Source organism: Homo sapiens, chromosome 4, assembly GCF_000001405.40.
Source record: "Homo sapiens chromosome 4, GRCh38.p14 Primary Assembly".
NCBI classification, from domain to species: Eukaryota; Metazoa; Chordata; class Mammalia; order Primates; family Hominidae; genus Homo; species Homo sapiens.
In genome coordinates, this window is record NC_000004.12 from 119,304,446 (window position 1) to 119,327,586 (window position 23,141).

The 23,141-nt window shown below is 36.3% G+C and overlaps 1 protein-coding gene across 1 annotated transcript; it reads right to left on the reverse strand.

Moving 5' to 3' along the window:
* On the reverse strand, nucleotides 12,805-17,693 carry FABP2 (fatty acid binding protein 2). Its single transcript, NM_000134.4, has 4 exons — nucleotides 17,591-17,693; nucleotides 16,225-16,397; nucleotides 15,091-15,198; nucleotides 12,805-14,646 (listed from the first exon to the last, which is right to left on the reverse strand). Exons 1-4 carry the CDS (start codon nucleotides 17,655-17,657, stop codon nucleotides 14,596-14,598), a joined length of 399 nt encoding a protein of 132 aa, NP_000125.2. The 5' UTR covers nucleotides 17,658-17,693; the 3' UTR covers nucleotides 12,805-14,595.

A 23,141-nucleotide genomic window follows, 5' to 3' on the forward strand; every position in this document is an offset into this window, starting at 1 on the left:
CTTTCAAAATTTCCCTACCTCTGACTCAAAAAACACTGAAATTTTCTTGATATTGTCTGGCACATTGGCTTGCTTTGTAGCAATTTTATGTAAATTTTCTCCCCTGTTAGAGTATTAAGTTATGTTCATTTGTTTTGAGACAGGGTATTGGTCTGTCACACATGCTGGAGTGCAGTGGTGCAATCAGAGCTCATGGCAACCTTGAACCCCTGGGCTCAAGCAATCCTTCCACCTCAGCTTTCCCAGTTGTTAGGACTACAGGCACACACCACCATGCCAGGCTTGCTTTTTATTAATGTTTATTTTTGTAGAAATGGGTTTTCACTATGTTGCCCAGTGAAACTCCTGTTTTCAAGTGATCCTCCTGCTTCAGCCTCTCAAACTGCCAGGATTACAGGCATGAGCCACTGAACCTAGCAATTATTAAGTGTTCTTTAAAGGAGAGACAGTATTTTTGCCATCTTTGCAATCTCCACAGCTCTTTAAACAGTGTCTTCCTCATGGAAGAAATTTAATATGTATTCAACAATATTTTGTTATATTCTGCAACCACTAACACAATCCTAGTCAAAAAAATACTTGTAAAATTGTGTGTTTTAGAACATAATAGTGTATGATACCAGTGGGATCTAACACTATTGATCTATACTCTTAGCAGGGATACTTTCTGAGATGTTTTGAAGTACTAGTAATGGATATGTGCCAATCCTTTCCCCTTTGTGGATTTTCCTTCTTTAATTTCAGTAAATACTTTTTATTACCTGCTGTGTGTCAGGCATTGTCCAAGGAGCCATAAGAGTTATGGAAGCAATACCAACCGATTCATTAAAAATACTGACTGAGGACATATAACAGAGCAATGAAGTTTTCGAACAGTATCACAGAGCCTGGGGTTCTGCATAATGATTTGGGTTTTGAAAGGCTGAACAGAACTGGCTGTGAACATACTAGTCAGATACAATTAAACCTCTTTCTGCTTATACATGTACATGTATTATACATGTACATGTCTGTACTTATACATGTAAAGACAGACTTCAACCATAAAAACTTAGTTTTGTTTATATTTTAGAGTTTCATACAAGATTTTATTTCAAAACAAAGCATCCTTCTGCTTTTAAAAGTTTAAAAACTTCGGTAGAGCAGAGTTTAGTAGGCACAAATGACAAAGATGTTGAAACCTACAACTTTGAAATTTCATTAAGCTAATCATCAGCAATCAACCTGTTATTTGTTTTATTGAAAGGTGTTAGAGAGGCAGTCATTGAGGATGGAGTCTCAAAAGTTAGTCAATACATGACATGTTTTTATCTCATAAGATTATAGGTTTCCAAGCATAGGAAACCTGTGCTTGGAATTAAAACCTATGCTTGGAATTAAACAGTTGTTAATTTAGAATAAATAAATGGATGCTAAGGTGATCATTGCTATATATAAAATATTGACCAGAATTAGACTTATAAGTGTGACAAATGTAACCGTGTTAACAGAAGTTATTCTTGGAAGATGGGATCACAGATAGTTTCATTCTTTGTGTTTTTCCATATTTTTCAAATTTTCTCAATGAAAATGCATTTTATTAACTAGAAGTTGGAAAGTTTGTTGAAAAAAAGTAAATTAGAAAATAAACAAGACAAAGTCTAGTCCAAAATTATTATTTAACTGTTTATGGCATCAGATCACAGACAGTAGACACATAAGTATCAAGGGGCTTTAATGATTTATAATAGTGCTTTTTAAACTAAATTTCATGGAATGCTATGATTCCTCGGAGTTTACTCAAGGACCAACATGGAATGGAAGAGATAGATGCAGGGAATGTGGCTTAAGGCATCTACTGGAAAAGCTCAGCTTTCTTGTTCATATCTATAAATATGCCTGTTGGAGAACAGATTTATTGTTGTTGTTGTTGTTGTTGTTTTTCTGTTCTAGTGAAAGCTAGTGTCAAAAAGTCACCTTGGGTGACCCATGTTCAAAATGGTGGAATAGCAACTCCAAGTTCCTGTCCCTCCACAGCAGCATTGAAAAACAAGCAAAAGCTGTCTGAAATAACTTTTTCAGAATGCTGGAAAACAGTCAAAAGTTTACAGCAACCAAGAAGATACTGAATCAAAATATATGAAGCAGACATTGACAGAATTGAAGGGGGAAATAGACAGTTTTACAAAAGTCTTTGGAAACTTTAATACTTTACTTTTAATAATGGGTAGAACATTTAGACAGAAGAGCAATAAGAAAATAGGGGACTTGAACAACAGTATAAACCAGCTATACCTGACAGACACATACAGAACTCCACCCAACAGCAGCAAAATATCAAGTCTTATCAAGTATACATGAAACATTCTCCAGGATATATTATATACTAAGGCATAAAACAAGTTTCAGTGAAGTTTTAAAAATTGAAGTCAGAAAGATCTCTGACAACAATGAAGTGAAGTTAGAAGTTAATAACAGAAGGAAAACTGGAAAATTCACAAACATGTGGAAATTTAACACACTCTTAAACCACCAGTGGTTCAAAAAGGATATCATAAGGGAAATTAGAAAATACTTAGAGACAAACAAAAATGAAAATGCAACATAGGAAAACTTGTAGATTGCAGTGAAGACAATCTATAGCTATAAATGCCTACGTTAACAAAGAAAGATCTCAAATCAACCTAACTTTATAACATGAGGAAATAGAAAAAGGAGAGCAAAATAACAAAGCTATCAGAAGACAGGAAATAATAAAGATTAGAGCAGAGATAAATGAAATATTGAATACAAAACCCATAGAAGGAATCAATGAAACCAAAATTGGTTCTTTGAAAAGATGAACCAAATTGGCAAACCTTTAGCTACAGGAAGAAAAAGGTGAGAAGACACAAATAACTAAAATCATAAAGGAAAGTGTACATATTACCACCAAACTTACAGAAATAAAAAGGATTATAATACTGTGAACAATTGTATGTCAACAAATTAGATAACTTAGATGAATAGAAAAGCTGAACAGACCTATAACAAGTAAAGAGATTCAATCAGTAATCAAAACATTCCAACAAAGAAAAGTCCAGGAGTAGATCACTTCTCTGGTGAATAATATCCAACATTTAAAGAATTAACACTGTTCCTTTTCAAACTCTCAATAAATAGACCTGAGAGAACACTCTCTAACTCATTCTATTAAGCTAGTACTCTGATACCAAGGCAGATAATGACATCACAAGAAAAGCAAATTACAGATATTGCACACCCATGTTTATAGCAGCACTTTTCACAATAGCCAAGAGGTGGAAGCAACCCAAATATCTATCAACAGGTGAATGGATAAAAAAAATGTGTTATCTACATACAATGGAATATCATTCAGCCTTAAGAGGAAGGAAATCCTGTCAAATGCTACAATGTGGATGAACCTTGAGGTCATTATCCTAAATGAAATAAGCCAGTGACAGACAAATACTGTATGATTCCACTTACATGAGGTATATTAAGGAGTCAAATTCCTAGAAACAGAAAGTAGAGTGGTGTTTACCAGGGGCTGGGGACAGAGGGAAAAGGCCAATTGTTTAATGGGCATAGAGTTATAGTTTTGCAAGGTGAAAACGTTTTGGAGATCTGTTTCACAACTATTTGAATATGTTTCACACTACTAAACTGTACTTTTGAAAATGGTTAATATGGTAAGTTTTATGTTATATGCTTTTACCACTATAAAAAAATTGCAGACCAGTATCCCTTACGAATATAGATACAAAAGTTCTCAAAAAGGGCCGGGCACCGTGACTCATGCCTGTAATCCCAGCACTTTGGGAGGCCGAGGTGGGTGGATCATGAGGTCAGGAGTTCAAGACCATCCTGGCCCAGATGGTGAAACCCCGTCTCTACTAAAACTACAAAAATTAGCCAGGTGCAGTGGCAGGCATCTGTAATCCCAGCTACTTGGGAGGCTGAGGCAAGATAATTGCCTGAGCCGGGGTAGCAGAGTTTGCAGTGAATTGAGATCATGCAACTGCACTCCAGCCTGGGTGACAAAGTGACACTCCATCTCAAAAAAAAAGAATCCGTCTCAAAAAAAAAAATTCTCAAAAACTACTAGTAAACCCAAACCAACAGCATATTAAAAGGATTATATACCATTACCACATGAGGTTTATCCCAGGAATGCAAGGGTAGCTCAACATAAGAAAGTCAATTAGTATAATATGCCACATTAGTAAAACAAGGGAAAAAGACAAACATTTCATTTCAATTGAGCAGAATAGGCATTTTATTCCCTAATAAAAACCAGCAGAAAACTGGGAATAGAAGGGAACTTCCTCAACTTGATAAAGGGTATAATGAAAAACCCACAGCTAACATCAAGCAACAACAACAAAATAGATAAATTGGATTTCATCAAAATTAAAAACTTTTGGGCATCAAAGAACATTGTAAAGAAAGTAAAAAGACAATTTACAGAATGGAAGAAAATATTTGTAAATCATATATCTGATAAAGATTTAACATACAGAATATATAAAGAACTTCTACAACCCCACAACAAAAAGAACCCAGTTAAAAAAAGTACTGATCAAAGGACTTGAACAGACATTTCTCAAAAGAAGATATACAAATAGCCAACATGCAGTTGAAAATATGCTCTACACCATTAGTTATTAGGGAAATGCAAATCAAAATCACAATGAGATACCATTTCACATCTACTAGGATGGCAATAATAATATAATAATAATACAGAAAATAACAAGTGTTGGCAAGGATATGGAAAAACTTAAATCCTTTAACATTGCTAGTGGGAATGTAAAATAATGGAGCCATTATGGAAGGTAGTTTAGAGATTCCTCAAAAAGTTAAAGAAGAACCATATGACCTAGCAATCCTGCTTCTAGGTATATATCCCAAATAATTTAAAGACTCAGATACTTGTACACCAAGTATACACCAAGTGTGCTGTTTCATCGTAGCGCTATTAACCATAGCCAAAAAGTAGAAACAACTCAATTGTCCATAAATGGATAAACAAAATGTAGTTATACATATCTTTAATTATTACTCAGCTATGAAAAGGAATGAAGTTCTGATATGTGCTACAACATGATGATTCTTGAAATAATGCTAAGTGTTTTAAAATAATGTTTGAAAAAACACTAAATGAAATAAGCCAGACACAAGTAAAAAGACAATCTATAGAATGGGAGAAAATATTTGATTTTTCAGGGGCTTGGGAGATGGGGGAATTAGGTGTTACTGCTTAATGGAAAGTTTCTGATTGTGGTTATGAAAAAGTTTTGGAAATAGATGGTAGTGATGATTACACAATATTGTGAATATAATTAATAGTCACTGAATTGTATATATAACATAGTTAAAATGGCAAATTGTATATTATATGTATCTTAACCACCTTAAAAGAACCCCCCTCAAAAAGAATATTAATACTTGACAGTCTTCACCTTCCCCACAACAAAAAGTCACATTGGTCTTCATTAGGGGACTAAATCTGTAGAATAAATTACAGATAATTCCTGTAGTTTATTAAGTTGGACTCTCTGGAAGCAGTCAGGGTAGCAGTTCTTAAGTAAATAATTCTCTTTATGTATTTTTATGTATAGAGAGAGGGAGAGACAGAGTCTCACTGTTGCCCAGGCTGGTCTCAAACTCTTGGCCTCATGTGATCCTTTCACCTGGCCTCCCAAAGCACTGGGATTTCAGGTGTGAGCCACCACACCTGGCCCTTGCCTTTATGTCTTAAGTGGGGCTCTTTAAGGTCTTAAAAGGTGAATTTTTCAAGTGCTGAGAAAATTAAAGTAGAAAAGCTTAGAAGACACTGGGTCTGTGAGGTAGAGGACACCTAAGCCCTTTTGGCCCCCATGTTCCAGCTGATAGCCAAAAGGTAGCGATAGATGTGAAAGGAGGAGGTTCTGCTGCCAGCTAAACCCCAATATTCCAGGACCTATGGTAAGACTTTGAGGACACCATCTAGTCCAGTACTTTGTTCTCAGATCTGATTGAACAAGTCCAGGTGCTTCAGATAATCGCTTCTTGTGACAACTTCAGGTTGTGCCATTCTTTACTCCCTGAAAGGAATATTAAAGTGGAAAACCTCAAGTAGTATTGCATTAAGAATGAGCTAGTGTACCCTCTTCTAGGTGCAGAAAGTAGAGTTGACAGTGTAGGCATTGTTAGGCTTCCATGAGGATTTCTTTTGAAAAGATGTTCCCTGCTTAAAAAATAAATGACAAATTTAGAGTATTCTCAGAGTTCAAAAGAAAAAGTTTATTTTCCCCCTATTTTCTATGTTGGCAAATGGGCCACATAAAGGTGCAGTTCTGTTCATTTAAGCTTTTGGAGTATTGCAACAGGTACCTCAAAGTTGGGGAAATGTTACTTGATTTTGAAAAGCATGAGGCATAGGAGGTAAAAGATGACACCAAAAAGCTAACCTAAATCAACTTAAGAGGGATACAGGCTCATGGTTTGTTAGTGGTCAGAGTTATAGAATGTAGGCATAGTGCAGCTGTGGTGTTTCTCTCTGTTTCTTCATCATTCCCAGGCACACTAAATTTCATAAACAACTTTATTTTCATAGAGTGACTCTTGCCTGGGGATTAAGGGTACTCCCTAGGAACCTAAGGGAATGAGTAAAATGACCCCCACAGGAAGACAGGGCTACTCTCCCTGGTGTGAGAATGACTTCATCAATTTGTAACCCAGGCCGACTAAATATATCAATCATGTGTTGTTTTTATAACAGCTAGAAACTGGGAAGAATAGAGTTCATAAGGTTTTCAGTATTGTTACCTCACAAAATAATCCTTCAGAAATTCCAATTCAAAACATAGAAGGAGTCTATTGTTTGTTTCATAATGCTTATTTTGTTACATTACTCTGTTCTTCCTTAGCTAGCAACTTTGAGCCCCCATAGGCTATGCTAATTAGGCTCTTTATTTATTTTTTTGAGACACAGTCTCTTCCAGCCTGGAGTGCAGTGGCGTGATCATGGCTCACTGCAGCCTTGACCTCCTGGGCTCAAGGGATCCTCCTGCCTCAACCTCCTGAGTAGCTGGGATTGCAGGTGTGAGCTACTGTATCCAGCCCTAGGCTCACTATATTACAGAGCCCAGAAACACTCAGTGTAATTCCAAGGCTCTTTAAGACTGTCACTGGCTCAAGGATCCAAATCCAGGCCTCTGACTAAAACATACTTAGAATGGCTCATTCTCTCACTCCCTTCAAGTGTTGCTCAAATGTTACCTATTCAGTGCTATCTTACTCCCTATTTAAAACTGCACCCATGATCTCACCTCTGACACTCCACATCCCTCTTTCTGGTTTTATTTTTCTCAATAGCGCTTATATCATCTAATGTACTATATATTTTACTTCATTCTCTTGTTTATTATCTGTATCCCTTCCATGATGACAGGGATTTTTGTCTGTCTTGTTCTTTGTTGTAGCTGTAACACCTAGATCAGCACCTGGCACATAGTGCCTGCATATAAGACATGCTTAATATATATTTTGATGGACGATATTTCGAATGAAAATTTACCTACATAACCACATCAAGTAAAATTGAATTTGGACTCTAGGACAACTGCTTGGGTCCAAATCCTGGTTCAGCGACTTATGGCTGTTGACCTTGGGCAAGTTATATAACCTCTCTCTGCCTCAGTTTTCTCATGTGTAAAATGAGACTAATAATAATTGTTCTTATTATATAGACTTTGTTGTGATGATGAACATGAATTGGTATTATAAAGCACTTTGAAAAATACCTGGCACATTGGAAACACCATGTATTAATAAATGTTAACTTGTAGTGGTAGAAGGAGTTGCATTTAACTGTATCTGAGTTAGTGCTATGTTTTATAAATAAAGCATTTATTTAGATTTTATGATATCCCCCTTGTGTGTAGGAGCCAATTTGTATGAAAATAAGGATGACAGGAGTCTGATGTGTGAGTTAGGCCCTTTAATAATTCAAGAAAGTCTGTACAATTAAGCATCTTATGAAAAATAGTTCAATGGAAAGTATAATTCAAGATTGCATATATTTCTATGAAAGCCTACCGTTACTCCTTTATAATACTTATCGCAATAATTTTTACTTATTCAATATGTCTTCTATGTCTAGATTCTAAGCTAAGCAGATTCAAAGTTCCATGGGAACAAAATAGATTTGTCTTGTTCACCACTAAAACTCATGTCATATTTAGCACATGGTAGGTGCTTGGTTCATATTTGGTTAAAGGAATATGTATTCTTGGCTACTCAGAATACGAGGAGCCTATACTGAACAAGTTATCTTTTTATCCACCAGAAGCAAGAATTCATTACTTCCACATCTAAAAATGTTATCTCACCCCTCTTTTCTTCTATCCGGTTTTTGTTTACTAGAACTCATCATGACTGCTTTTACCTCATGGCATCTGTTGTTTGCTTTTCCATCTGTATCTTAACTTTTGCCCATCATTACTAGCTAATGACTTTCTCTGTGTATTGAAGTCAAATTCTCAACAGAGACCCTACCTGGTTTTAATTAATGAGAATTATTGGTCTTGGACAGAGTTCTCCTATCATTGGCTGCTCTCAAGTATAGAAATTGACTGCCCTTGGGTCAGGTGGCCATTTTTGACCTAATCAGATATGGCTAGGGTGATCTGGTTCAGAATAAGTTTATCTGTTTGTAAAGAACAACAAGGACTTATTCCCTCAGTAGATCTTCTGGGTTTAAGAAAGAATGGGGAAAGCTGGCTTTCTGAGGCTGGGGCTGCCCAGCATGCCCCAAATTACAATCATTAATATTTGCTATGTGTTAGAGGGATACAGTGTGGGGTATAGATATAAGACCCTATCCTTGCCCTCATATAGCTCACAAACTAGAGGAGGCAGGCAAGCAGATTGAATATAGAGTAATGGTATTGCTGGAGTTGAACACTTTGTGCCATGGGAACATGCAGGACAAACACTCAGTCTGGACTGGGATTGTGAAATAACCTCCATCTTTACTGAGGTTTCTCTGTTCCAAGTATATGTTAAAGAGAGGAAGTTCTGTGTCACAATGATGCCCTTCAGTATCCTTTTTTTAAAAAAAATCTTGTTTAAAAGTTTCTAAATTAAAACCCAGTGAAGGCATTGAGCATATACTCCTTTACCTAAAAGACATTTTGTTTTCAAGTTTAGGAAGAGTACTGTTCTTTGACTTTCAGGTGTTTTCTCCAGTGAATATAGTGAGTGTGCCAGAATCATTTGATAAGAACAGTTACACTACCTGTAATCTGAGAGATGTGGCTTTGAAACTGGGCTGACATTTAGGGAGCACTTCCTTGCCTGTCCTCCTTCAGAGTTCTACTACTCCTTCATTTCACAGCAGTCCTAACTACTAATTGTTTAAGCTCCCTCTTTCATTCCTGGAAATCTTGATTACATGGCAGGGAGGACTTCTCGCAATCCATCATTCTAATGGAATCTTCAATGAGGATATATATGGATGAGAGAAGCCCTCTGGAACACTATGCTTTATCCATGACTATTGATTTCCACCATTTGCTTCAAACTTTCATCTTCTGCCACTGTCTTGCATACTCTTCTTTTCCAGTCAATTCTCCAGTAAAATCTGTTCCAGACAATAGCTTGAAGGTTGGTCATCGGGCCTGAAGGCAATATACACCACCCTGCATATTAGCACCCACTGAGTGAGAGTATAACCCTACTCTAGATGACCATCCAATGCTGAAGATGATGATGCTATTCTTGGTATTTCGATTCAGACCCAAGATGAGCCTGAGAGTTTGTATCCATTTGAGGAAATTCTTAATCACCTAAATATCTCTACCAATAGTGTTCATCATTAAATACTTGCTGTCTGGCACATAGTGCTTTTTTAAAATTATTTTTTGTTCAATAAATGAAAGCAGTTTTAGTGGATCGGTTCAAGAGGAGTCTTTGTATTAGCTTTGTTTAGTGTGGAGTTTGGAACTGAAGAAGCATTTAATAATTAACATTTTAAAGTGTAGACTACGGTATATCAGACCTTTCTGGAACACTCCCTAGACACTGAAATGCGGCAAAGACACTGCATTGGAAACCTCCGAAAGAGTCTGTATCCTTGGCCAGCAGATGGCATTCTTATACTATAGTTTAGAGAAAGCAAGTAGCAAAAGGTAAAGAAGCACTTCTTAATGATGAAGTGACCATCTACCTCCTTTTTCCCTTCCCCATCACCACATAACCTTATCTCACTTCCATTTTATCCCAGGCAACTATCTTTTCCATCCATCCATTCACCCTTCTTTAGGTGCCTAGAGATGTCTTGCTACCATTCTCTCTAGTTGCTCATAGGAAAATATCTTTTGTACTTATTAATAGTCAATCCATAGAAATAGGACAAGCCACATAATTTTCAGGGCCCTGTGTAAAATGAAAATGCAGAAGTTGTTCAAAAAGTATTGAGAATTTTAGGACAGTAAGAAAAGAGCATTAAACCAAGCACAGGGCCCTCTGAGCCCACACAAGCCATACACCCATGAAACCAGCCATACTTTATAATGTAAATATTTCCCTCTTCCCATCCTACCTTCCATTGTTCTAATGTCCTGTCCCCTGTGACCCACACCAAAAAGGCTGCTTAAGAAAGGAAGGAATCACTAAATGTCATTCAGACATCATAGAATCTTAGCACTGAAAGAAAATTTGGAGATCTAGTTCAATCCTCTCATTTTAAAGATGATTAAACTACATTCCAAAGAGATGAAGAGACTCTCCCAAAGTCCCCAGCTAGTTATGTCACAGACTGGACTGGAACTAAGTATTCTCATCTACCAGGCCAAGGCTCACTCTCTCACGCAGACTCCATGAGAGGTATTTTAAGAAAAGAGTTTTCCCATCTACTCAGGATATACTTTGCCCCATTTTCTCTAGAGGAGAAGGGTACATGTTTATGTTACATTTGAGTACCAGGTATATGCCAGGCATTACACTCGATGTTTTATACATAATACCTCAATTGCAACAAGCTCAGAAAATCATTACATTTTCCCCATTTTTCAAATGAGAAAAATAGAGAATCAGAACTTGAATTTTAGTCAGTAAATGGGCAGACAAGAATTTGGGCAAGTCTGTGATTCTAAAACCCATTCTTTTTCACCACATCATTCCTAAATTTTAGGAAAGCTGAGTCAGCCTGTGTTTCCTGAACATTGGTCTTGTTTTTGGTCAGCTCTGGGTGATTTGGGGACTCTTTCCAGGCTATGTTCTTCAAATTTACCAGGTTTGCTACTGCCTTGGTGTCTTTGCTCCAGGGTGTTTCCTCTGCTTGAAACACTCTTCCCCCAGATATTTCATGAAAAACAGGACCACGTGTTGGAGAGGTAACAGGGCATCTGATCATATAGGGTCTTACAGGTCATTGTAAGAACATTGGCTTTTTCCTCTGAGTGAAAATGGAAGCCATTGCAGCAGTTTGAGCAGATAAGCGATGTGATCAGATTTAGATTTTTAAAGGATCCTTCTGGCTGCTGTGTAGAAAAAGAGACTAAAGGGGTGGAGTAGGGAAGGTAGAAGTTCTTGGGCTTTTTAGAGAGTTGTAACAGTAATCCAGGAAAAAGATAATGGTGGCTCATACTAAGGTGATAGCAGTGGAAGTGATGGGAAGTGGTTGGATTCTGGAGTTATATGTGTATGTAAGTACTATATTTTTAACTTCTTGTTATGGAAAATCTCAAATACATACAGAAGTACAGAGATGAATATAATGAATTCCTGTGTTCCTATTCAGTGAACCTATCATATGTTATTATGTGTCAGGCACTTTGCAACAGCTGCAAGAATTGCCAACTTGTATCAATCTTCCTCCCCAACCCTAGATTGGGGAGAAAGCAATTTGAAGCAAATCCCAGATACCATATTGCATGTGTAAATATTTCAGCTTCTACTACTCCAACTGCTTCTGACTGCCCCGACATTCTGCTATCTACCCTATGGTTACTGCTTGTTCATAGTTTCAGGTACTCATGACTTCTACTTATTGTCTGCTCTATTTGTCCTCTTTAAGCCTTTTTCCTTGCTATCAACTACTAACTGTGTACTTCTCAAATTCAAACTCCCTAGAAAGAGGTTCTTGCAGGTTCAGTTAGTTGTCATTTTTCCTTCTACACAGAGCTCATGATCTGGCCAAATTGTGGTAGATTGGCTGCTCTTGGGTCAGGGACCCTCTTTTGGCCAAGCAGGGTGGTGTAATGACAAGGTTGGTTTTCCCGAAAAACGGTTGTTGAAATGGAAGTCACTTAACAAATAATAGGCTGTTCTCCAATACTAATAAATAGTGGAAATTTAATTCTAGAAAGGATATAAATGGTGAAAAAAGTCAGCCTGCAATGAGACTAGAAATAGATAAGTGTCTAATCACTCAACACCATTATTTTACAGTCTGACCTGACTCATTTAGAGTGCTATTCTTGGGTGCCACTGAGGAATTAAGGACATTTTTTTTCTTAATATATTTTTGTTTATAACAGGCTGAGTAATAGCATAGATCATAATGATCTAGGCTGAAAGTCAAGACCTACATTTAATTCTTCTGTTCATCATGGACTTTGTACAATATTAGACAAGCTAATAAACTTCTTTGTGCCTTTGTCTCTCTCAGTTTTTGTATTGAGATTAATACCTGCCTTTTCCTGATTCATATATGGTAGACACATAAGATTAGAGGGATAAAAATACATTGAGCTTTTATGAAGAGAAGCATGTGAAAATCTAAATAATTACTATTTCCTATGTGAAGATTTTTATGAAATTATAAAATGAACATAGATTTAAGGTATTTTTATATAAATTTAAGGAGTACAAGTATAGTTTTGTTACATTGATATATTGCATAGTGGTAAAGTCTGGGCTGTAACCATCACCCCCTGAATAATGTACATTGTACCCATTAAGTAAATTATCATCGCCCCCTGCCAACCCTCCAACTCTTCCAAGTCTCCAGTGTCTATTATTCTACACTCTGGTGTGTCCATGTGTATACATTATTTAGCTCCCACTTATAAGTGAGAACACGCAGTATTCAGCTTTCAAAGATTACATACTCTCTATTCATTTTCATCAGGTACTCAAACATTTTTCTTCCTACATTTTAATATATATGTCATATGTATATACCACTTAGAACAGTGTGTGGCAAGTAGTAAGAACTATGTAAATGTTAAGCTGTTATCTACATCAGTGTGAAAAAGAATTTGTCAAAAGTCTATAGAGTTGCAGCTGCAAATGCTTAAAAATTGTACCCCCTCTCCATCCCCTAATATGTACCCTGCTAAAATACAATTATGTGAAGCACATAAAATTTTACGTCATGTGAAAATATGAATAAAAGGAAACTTTTTGAGCCCTGGAAAATTGGCAATGTATGTGTTTATGTGAAAAAACCCACAACAACAAAAAAGAAGGGGGTGGTTAAAAATAACATTGATAACTGATATCTCCATTGTTCTCAAAGACAAGTTAGTGGACAGGCTGCATCAGAATCACCAGGAAATTTTCTAGAATTCTTGGTTCTATTAGCGATTCTGATATAATAGAATAACAGTGGAGATTAAGAATGCAGAAATTGTTTAAGTTTCTCAGATGATCCTGATTTTCAGCCAAGCGTGGGAATGACTGATGTGTACAAAAATGTAATACAATAATTTAATTTAATGTAGTACATCATTTATTTCCTATCATCCTATTCAAAGTGGTATGTATTGGGAAATATCTGCCCCCAGGGAAGAGAGCTGAGAGGATATCTATCAAAATCAGAATGGCAATTATCTCTGGATTATGAGTTATGGAAATACTTATTTTACATTTGTGTTTCTTATTTCTAAGTTTTCTGGTTGAGCATATATTATTTTTATAATAATAGATATTACTTACAACCAGTGCCAGAAAATTATTCACAACCAGTTCAAGATGTTAAAGACTCATATGCAGCCTATGCTTTTAGTTTATCAAATGTAAAGAAAAAAAACAACTTGAGAGGCTGAGGCAGGAGGATTGCTTGAGGCCAGGGGTTCAAGACCAGCCTGGGCAATATAGCAAGACCCCATCTCTAAAAAAAATAAAAAGAAAACAAAACAAAAATTAGCTGGGCACTGTGGAATGTACCCATAGTCCTAGCTACTCAGAAGCCTGAGGCAGGAAGATTGCATGAGTCCAGGAGTTTGAGGTTACAGTGAGCTATGATCTCTCCACTACATTCCAGCCTGAGTGAAAGAGTAAGACCCTCTCTCTACGAAAACAGTCTGTCAATTCATATTCACATACTTTTTCTTTTAAAAGGCAAGGCTACATATAAAGCAACATGGACGCAATATTTATTTTTGTTTTTTAAAATGTCACAAATTCTTTTAGTAAATATATATCTTAGAGAATATAAAACAAATTAAATCCTAATTAGCTTTTACTTCTTTTGCTTTGGCATGAATGGAAATATACCAATGTTTATAAAAGGACCAATCAATCAGTAACCTTATACTTGATGGGGTGAAATAAATAGTTCTGGTACAATATAGATCTTCTGTCCAATTTGTATTTTGGACTGTGCGCCAAGAATAATGCTCAATCCTTTTTAAAGATCCTTTTGGCTTCTACTCCTTCATATACATAAGTCTGAAAGGTGTTAACAAACAGAAGAATTTATCTTTAAGGTTTACATCTAAGTTAAGAAAAAGTAGTATTATAGTTTTATACTATATGAGTTTATACTATTTTTATATTATATATTCATATATATTATATGAGTATGAGTTTATACAATTTTTTCTTGTACTTGATAGCAAGATTTATACAGATATGGGATACAGCCATTTTAAAACACATGTTGGTTTGTAGTCATTTATATTTTCAGTTAAAATAGGCATTGATTATTTGACATATATAAGTTGTCTTTAGTAAATAGGCATCAGAAAATAGCTATACAATATTTTTAAAATCAGTAAGATTTATGAGAAAAGAAGTAGTCAGTTTACTGAAGATCTGGCTCAGCAGTGACAAAAATTATTGTTTTGTAGTAATTTTTGCCTTTTGAAAATAGCTATAAATTTGACAACTCACCTGGACTAGTTCATCACCTATAATTTCTCGGACAGTATTCAGTTCGTTTCCATTGTCTGTCCGTTTGAATTTTCCAATAAGTTTATTTCCCTCAAGGCTCCAGGTCCCCTACATAATAATAATAATAATAATAATAATAATAATGGCATTTATTAGGGTCTTACACATGTCAGGCACTGTTCTGAGTTCTGTAGACACACTTTTTCATTTAATCTTCATGGTGACCCTATGAAACTGATACTATTATCTCTACTTTGCAGAAGAGGAGACTGTAAAATGGCACAGTGATTCACCTAAAGTCACAGAGTGAGGATTGAACCTAGGCCATTGGGCTACAGAGTATGTGTTGATAACCATTATGCTTGTTCTCTTCAATAATTTCCATACGCTGAATTTTAAGGCAGATGAGCAGCACTTCTTTCTGAATCTTTCATGTTACGTGTCCAGAAATATAGTCATGGTTAAAATTAGTTTCATGGAGATGTTAACAACTCTGTGCTTGTTTTAATTTGTGTGATTGTGGTACTAATTAAAGAAAGACATAACTTATGATAAAACATTCAGTAGTTAAATTGTCATTACAAACATGTAATTTAAATAGAAAAATGTTGAGGCTAAAAAAAGTTTTTAAAAAATTTGTTGAAAATGATGACTTCCTAAAATGTGTTATCTTAAACATGAAAAGGTACACTCCCAATGACCTACAATACATCAAATCTTTCCATTTGGTAACTCACTCATTTGTTCATCTATTCATTTCTTTTATTATTTCAACATGTTAAATTGCTATTACAGTTAAGTTACATATTAACTCTAAAGGCTTCTTTTGCTGTACTGTTTAAAAACACAGTTTTAAATTTCTTTATGAATAGGTCTATATTCAGTCATTCAAAAGATAGTTTTCTAATTCTTACTGTTCAATTCAGATTCTTCACAGATGCGTATAAAAATAAAAACATATTTAAATATCCTGCCAATTTGTGCAATATATAATGTAGACAAACTTCATTGGCTTCTTCAGTTAGTGAAGGAGACCTGCATTAATTAAACCATCCAATGAAATAGAGCAGAAATCATTTTAATATTGGGTAGAAAAATCAAGAATGCATTGCTCATAAAAAAAAAAATTCTTACCCTGAGTTCAGTTCCGTCTGCTAGATTGTAATTAAAGGTGACACCAAGTTCAAAAACAACTTCAATGTTTCGAAAAGTGCTTGATTCTTTGACTGTGAATTTATTTCCTTCTTGTGTAATTGTCAGCTTCAAATTGTCATGAGCTGCAAGCTTCCTTTTCACTATATTAACACCTGTAAAAGGTAAGACAATGGAGAAAATAAAGTCAAATCCCATAGGAAGTGTTTATTTTTCCAAGTTATGTTTTGTTTGTTTATTTTGAGGGTGGGAAGAAAACTCGGTAGCATTGCCTTTGCACAAGAACATTCAGATTGCTTCTACAGAAGTTCAGGTTCAATCAGATCAAGAGAACTGATTAAAGTTGTTTTTCCATAACTTGAGAAAAATTAAGTAGAGTACAGAATTATAGAATCTTAGAGCTGAGCAACCTTAATAAGATTAACAAACTGTTCATTTCAGTGTTAAGTAAATCAAATTCTAGAAATATCAAATGAAGGATTAAAATGTATATTCATATATTTATAAGGAAGCACATCTTTAATTCCACATATACAGTATTCTTTTTTCTTAAATGCCCCTTTGTTTTTCTTAGTGGCTTTAACATTTTGAACTTTATAGTTCTATTTGCTTCTTGTGGCATTTCTTTCTGACACAAAAATGAGAAAATTAGCAAATATTAAGCCAAAATCACTATAAGAATCTACAACTTTTATAAATTTAAACTTAGAGTTCCTAAACTGTAAGCTATAATTGATGCAGATTTTTCTTTTAGGGGAATGACACAAATTTGTTTGCCTATCTTGTATAGTATATGGGCTGCCAGAGTATTGGTATCAAATTATAAATCAGTTAAATTAAACGCCCTGGAGAAAACTACACAGCTTCTCAAGATTATTCCAAAACTTTTTTAAGTTAGAAGAAATCAGAATTAAATCTAACTTATTCAGCGCTATAAATTTTAAGAGAACCTTTTCCATTACTTTCTTATATGGTCTTTGTTTTTCCATCTCCTAGAATTTAACATTTTCAGATCTGGAAGTTATCATTACACGCTGCCATTTTCTTACTGTAAACAACAAAAAAAGTCATTTTTCAGTTAAAGAGGGAAGGAAACATTTCTGGATCTTTTTGGTGTGTTTCAGAGAACAGCACTCAAAGAATCTTTTCTTCCATTAGTGAGATAGTGGATTCTTCCTAATGTAAGAAGGGAGAATATGGTTTCCCTCCTCTGAACATCTTCTGGATCCTCTCTACCACATCAGGAGCTATCTGTAAGCTATCTGTAATCTCCTAGAGATTTAGGAGTTAGAAAGAAAAATGTTTGTAAGAAAGCAAAGAATGAGCCACAAAGAAATAAAGTCTTTACCCATTTTTTCCATGAACTTGTCATAGTTTTCACTCCGGTCTACCTTCCAAGTGCTGTCAAACGCCATGATTTCAGTTGAGTCAGCCTCTAGGCAGCTAGAGATTCAGGTCTGTCCTTGGGCGAGAATTTATTATATTTCTTATCTTAGAACCAACTTCATACTGTGATGTGGAAGCTTAAAGTTCAGGAAATCACCTAACTATGTCAAGCAATTAATTAATTCTTATTAATTAATTCTTAATTCTCGTTCTGTACATTCCTGAGATCTTCTGAAATTCAACTGAATTAAAACATGAGAAGCATACCTATTCTGTCTTAAATTACAGTTTGTGGGCATACTTATTTCAAGAATTAGAATGCATGCCGTCTGAAGATTGTTTTTCTAAGTTCAAAGTGCAGACTATGTTGGAGGTAATATAATTTATAGCATATATCAAATAACATCTGGGAAATGAGACCATGACCTTTCCCTTTTTCACAACAGCAATTATCTTGTAAAGTAAGACTTTATGATGAAATACAGTTGAAAAGTTAAAGTTAATAAGATTCGTTTTCTAATATGTCTTTTTGCATTGTGTTTAGCATTGCCAGGAGTTTGGATAAATATCCTGGCACTTTGTAGGGTGCATGACACACAATAAGTGCTCATTGATTTTTGTCTTGATCCTGAATGGTGATAGGCCACTGAGCAAAAATTCAAGAGGTACAAATGAGGCTGGATGGTGTAAAAACTTGCATAAAAGAAAGAATGAGCTTTAAACATCTGCCATGTGCAGAGAGAACAAAATCCAGTTTTAGCTGTGCCATTAATTAAAACCACTCCTTCATTTTACTCTCAATGCCTCTCATCCCCAAACCCAGTAGAGTCAGAAGCCACAGCTCAATTATGTATGTAGGGTCAGGGTATAGAGGGTAGCTAGAAAGGTACAAAGAAAAGGTCACCATATCTCTCCTTTCCCTACTTCAGGCTGCCAGCCAGGAACAGGCCAAGCTTGGGGAGGAAACTTGGTGTGAAGTAAAGAGTTTTAATTACTAGTCTTAAGATGTTTATTACTAAAATGAGTCTATTATTGTGACTGAATGTGACCAGATAACATCTTATTAACTAAGGGTCAGGAAAGAAGCTCTAGGGCTTGCCCAAGATATTACTTAGGGTCAAGGGAAGATAAATCTAACAGATTTGAACAGAACTTTGGGGAACAGAATCCCAGTTTTTAAATTTTGATATTATTTTATATTTTGATTTTTAAAAATCTTTTAAACATGTTAGATATTGTTTGATTTTTTATTTCGAGTTGCCCACTTTTTATTTTATTAAGTAAGCACTTTAAAAAGCAAACTATTTTCTACTAGCTCTATTATTTCATTAAAAAAGAAAAAGAGGCCGGGCGCGGTGGCTCGCGCCTGTAATCCCAGCACTTTGGGAGGCCGAGGCGGGCGGATCACGAGGTCAGGAGATCGAGACCATCCTGGCTAACACGGTGAAACCCCGTCTCTACTAAAAATGCAAAAAAAATTAGCCGGGCGTGGTGGTGGGCGCCTGTAGTCCCAGCTGCTCGGGAGGCTGAGGCAGGAGAATGGCGTGAACCCGGGAGGCGGAGCTTGCAGTGAGCCGAGATCGTGCCACTGCACTCCAGCCTGGGCGACAGAGCGAGACTCCGTCTCAAAAAACAAAAAAACAAAAAAACAAAAAAACAAAAAACAAAAAAAAACAAAAAAGAAAAAGAGTTGCCTGGTGCAGTGGTTCTTGCCTGTAATCCCAGCTATTAGAGAGGCTGAGGCAGGAGAATCACTTCAGGCCAGGAGTTCGAAACCAGCAGTTTGAGGCCAGCCTAAGCAACATAGGGAGAGCCTGGCTGTAACAATTATAATAAAATAAATTAGCCAGGTGTAATGGCACATGCCTGTAGTCCCAGCTACTTGGGAGGCTAAGGCGGGAAGATCTCTTGATCCCAGGAGTTGGAGATTGCAATGAGTTGTGATCATGCCAGTACACTCCAGCCTGGGCAACAGAGAGATCCCATCTCTAAAAAATAAATAATTTTTTAAATGTCAAAAAAGGAAAGAAAACACATATACACACTCATGAGTTGGGGACAAAGGTCATAATGGGAAGTCCTTTACATTCATAATTTAGCTTTACTTTCAAAATTAGGTACATTGTGATTTTTTAATCTTTTTTCAAAGAATTAAAACTGTATCACTTGGGAGCTATCAACCTAATACACTTTCTTTCTTTTTTTATTACACTTTAAGTTTTAGGGCACATGTGCACAACGTGCAGGTTTGTTACATATGTACACATGTGCCATGTTGGTGTGCTGCACCCATTAACTCGTCATTTAACATTAGGTATACCTCCTAATGCTATCCCTACCCCCTCCCCCCACCCCATAACAGGCCCCGGTGTGTGATGTTCCCCTTCCTGTGTCTAAGTGTTCTCATTGTTCAATTCCCACCTATAAGTGAGAACATGCGGTCTTTGGTTTTTTGTCCTTGCGATAGTTTGCTGAGAATGATGGCTTCCAGCTTCATCCATGTCCCTACAAAGGACATGGACTCATCATTTTTTATGGCTGCATAGTATTCCATGGTGTATATGTGCCACATTTTCTTAATCCAGTCTATCATTGTTGGACATTTGGGTTGGTTCCAAGTCTTTGCTATTGTGAATAGTGCCCCTATAAACATATGTGTGCATGTGTCTTTATAGCAGCATGTTTTATAATCCTTTGGTTATATACCCAGTAATGGGATGGCTGGGTCAAATGGTATTTCTAGTTCTAGATCCCTGAGGAATCGCCACACTGACTTCCACAAGGGTTGAACTAGTTTACAGTCCCCTCAACAGTGTAAAAGTGTTCCTATTTCTCCACATCCTCTCCAGCACCTGTTGTTTCCTGACTTTTTAATGATTGCCATTCTAACTGGTGTGAGATGGTATCTCATTGTGGTTTTGATTTGCATTTCTCTGATGGCCAGTGATGATGAGCATTTTTTCATGTGTCTTTTGGCTGCATAAATGTCTTCTTTTGAGAAGTGTCTGTTCATATCCTTCGCCCACTTGTTGATGTGGTTGTTTATTTTTTTCCTGTAAATTTGTTTGAGTTCATTGTAGATTCTGGATATTAGCCCTTTGTCAGATGAGTAGATTGCAAAAATTTTCGCCCATTCTGTAGGTTGCCTGTTCACCCTGATGGTAGTTTCTTTTGCTGTGCAGAAGCTCTTTAGTTTAATTAGATCTCATTTGTCAATTTTGGCTTTTGTTGCCATTGCTTTTGGTGTTTTTAGTCATGAAGTACTTGCCCATGCCTATGTCCTGAATGGTATTGCCTAGGTTTTCTTCTAGGGTTTTTGTGGTTTTAGGTCTAACATTTAAGTCTTTAATCTATCTTGAATTAATTTTTGTATAAGGTGTAAGGAAGGGATCCAGTTTCAGCTTTCTACATATGGCTAGCCAGTTTTCCCAGCACCATTTATTAAACAGGGAATCCTTTCTCCATTTCTTGTTTTTGTCAGGTTTGTCAAAGATCAGATCGTTGTAGATAAGCAGCATTATTTCTGAGGGCTCTGTTCTGTTCCATTGGTCTATATCTCTATTTTGGTACCAGTACTATGCTGTTTTGGTTACTGTAGCCTTGTAGTATAGTTTGAAGTCAGGTAGCGTGATGCCTCCAGCTTTGTTCTTTTGGCTTAGGATTGACTTGGCAATGTGGGCTTTTTTGGTTCCATATGAACTTTCAAGTAGTTTTTTCCAATTCTGTGAAGAAAGTCATTGGTAGCTTGATGGGGATGGCATTGAATCTATAAATTACTTTGGGAGGATGGCCATTTTCACGATATTGATTCTTCCTACCCATGAGCATGGAATGTTCTTCCATTTGTTTGTATCCTCTTTTATTTCATTGAGCAGTGGTTTGTAGTTCTCCTTGAAGACGTCCTTCATATCCCATGTAAGTTGGATTTCTGGGTATTTTATTCTCTTTGAAGCAATTGTGAATGGGACTTCACTCATGATTTGGCTCTCTGTTTGTCTGTTATTGGTGTATAAGAATGTTTGTGATTTTTGCACATTGATTTTGTATCCTGAGACTTTGCTGAAGTTGCCTATCAGCTTAAGGAGATTTTGGGCTGAGACGATGGGGTTTTCTAGATATACAATCATGTCATCTGCAAACAGGGACAATTTGACTTCCTCTTTTCCTAGTTGAATGTCCTTTATTTCCTTCTCCTGCCTGATTGCCCTGGCCAGAACTTCCAACACTATGTTGAATAGGAGTGGTGAGAGAGGGCATCCCTGTCTTGTGCCAGTTTTGAAAGGGAATGCTTCCAGTTTTTGCCCATTCAGTATGATATTGGCTGTGGGTTTATCATAGATAGCTCTTATTATTTTGAGATATGTCCCATCAATACCTAATATATTGAGAGTTTTTAGCATGAAGGTTGTTGAATTTTGTCAAAGGCCTTTTCTGCATCTATTGAGATAATCATGTGGTTTTTGTTGTTGGTTCTGTTTATATGCTGGATTACATTTATTGATTTGTGTATGTTGAACCAGCCTTGCATCCCAGGGATGAAGCCCACTTGATCATGGTGGATAAACTTTTTGATGTGCTGCTGGAGTTGGTTTGCCAGTATTTTATTGAGGATTTTTGCATCGATGTTCATCAGGGATATTGGTCTAAAATCTCTTTTTTTGTTGTGTCTCTGACAGGCTTTGGTATCAGGATGATGCTGGCCTCATGAAATGAGTTAGGGAGGATTCCCTCTTTTTCTATTGTTTGGAATAGTTTCAGAAGGAATGGTACCAGCTCCTCCTTGTACCTCTGGTAGAATTTGGCTGTGAATCCATCTGGTCCTGGACTTTTTTTGGTTGGTAAGCTATTAATTATTGCCTCAATTTAGGAGCCTGTTACTGGTCTATTCAGAGATTCAACTTCTTCCTGGTTTAGTCTTGGGAGGATGCATGTGCCGAGGAATTTATCCATTTCTTCTAGATTTTCTAGTTTATTTGCGTAGAGGTGTTTATAGTATTCTCTGATGGTAGTTTGTATTTCTGTGGGATTGGTGGTGGTATCCCCTTTATCATTTTTTATTGCATCCATTTGATTCTTCTCTCTTTTCTTCTTTATTAGTCTTGCTAGTGGTCCATCAATTTTGTTGATCTTTTCAAAAAACCAGCTCCAGAATTCATTGATTTTTTGAAGGGTTTTTTATGTCTCTATTACACTTTCAACTTGGAGGGAAGTAGAAAACTTTGTTTAAAGCTGAGGACTCAACAGTCTCTCAGGTAGTTGACTGGCTGTGGTGATTTGTGAACTCAGAAGCCTATGGATAATGAATCCAATCTTTATTTCTAGGTCAGAAAACTACATGTATCTGGTCACTGAAATAAACGTATGGTAGAGTGAAAAGAACATGTGTTTTAGAAACAAGACCCATTGACTTGGGTTTCAGTGCTGACTAAACATACATTACTCTGCAGAATCTTCGTCACATTACTTACTCAATCTCTCTGAGCCTCAGTTTTCTCATCAATAAAATGAAGACA

Coding starts and splice junctions, on each gene's coding strand:
- FABP2 (NM_000134.4), bottom strand. CDS start 17,657: ATGGCGTTTGACAGCACTTGGAAGGTAGACCGGAGTGAAAACTATGAC. Junction 15,199..16,224: donor CAGACGGAACTGAACTCAGG/GTAAGAATTTTT, acceptor ATTATTATGTAG/GGGACCTGGAGCCTTGAGGG. Junction 14,647..15,090: donor TAGGTGATGAACTAGTCCAG/GTGAGTTGTCAA, acceptor AACACCTTTCAG/ACTTATGTATATGAAGGAGT.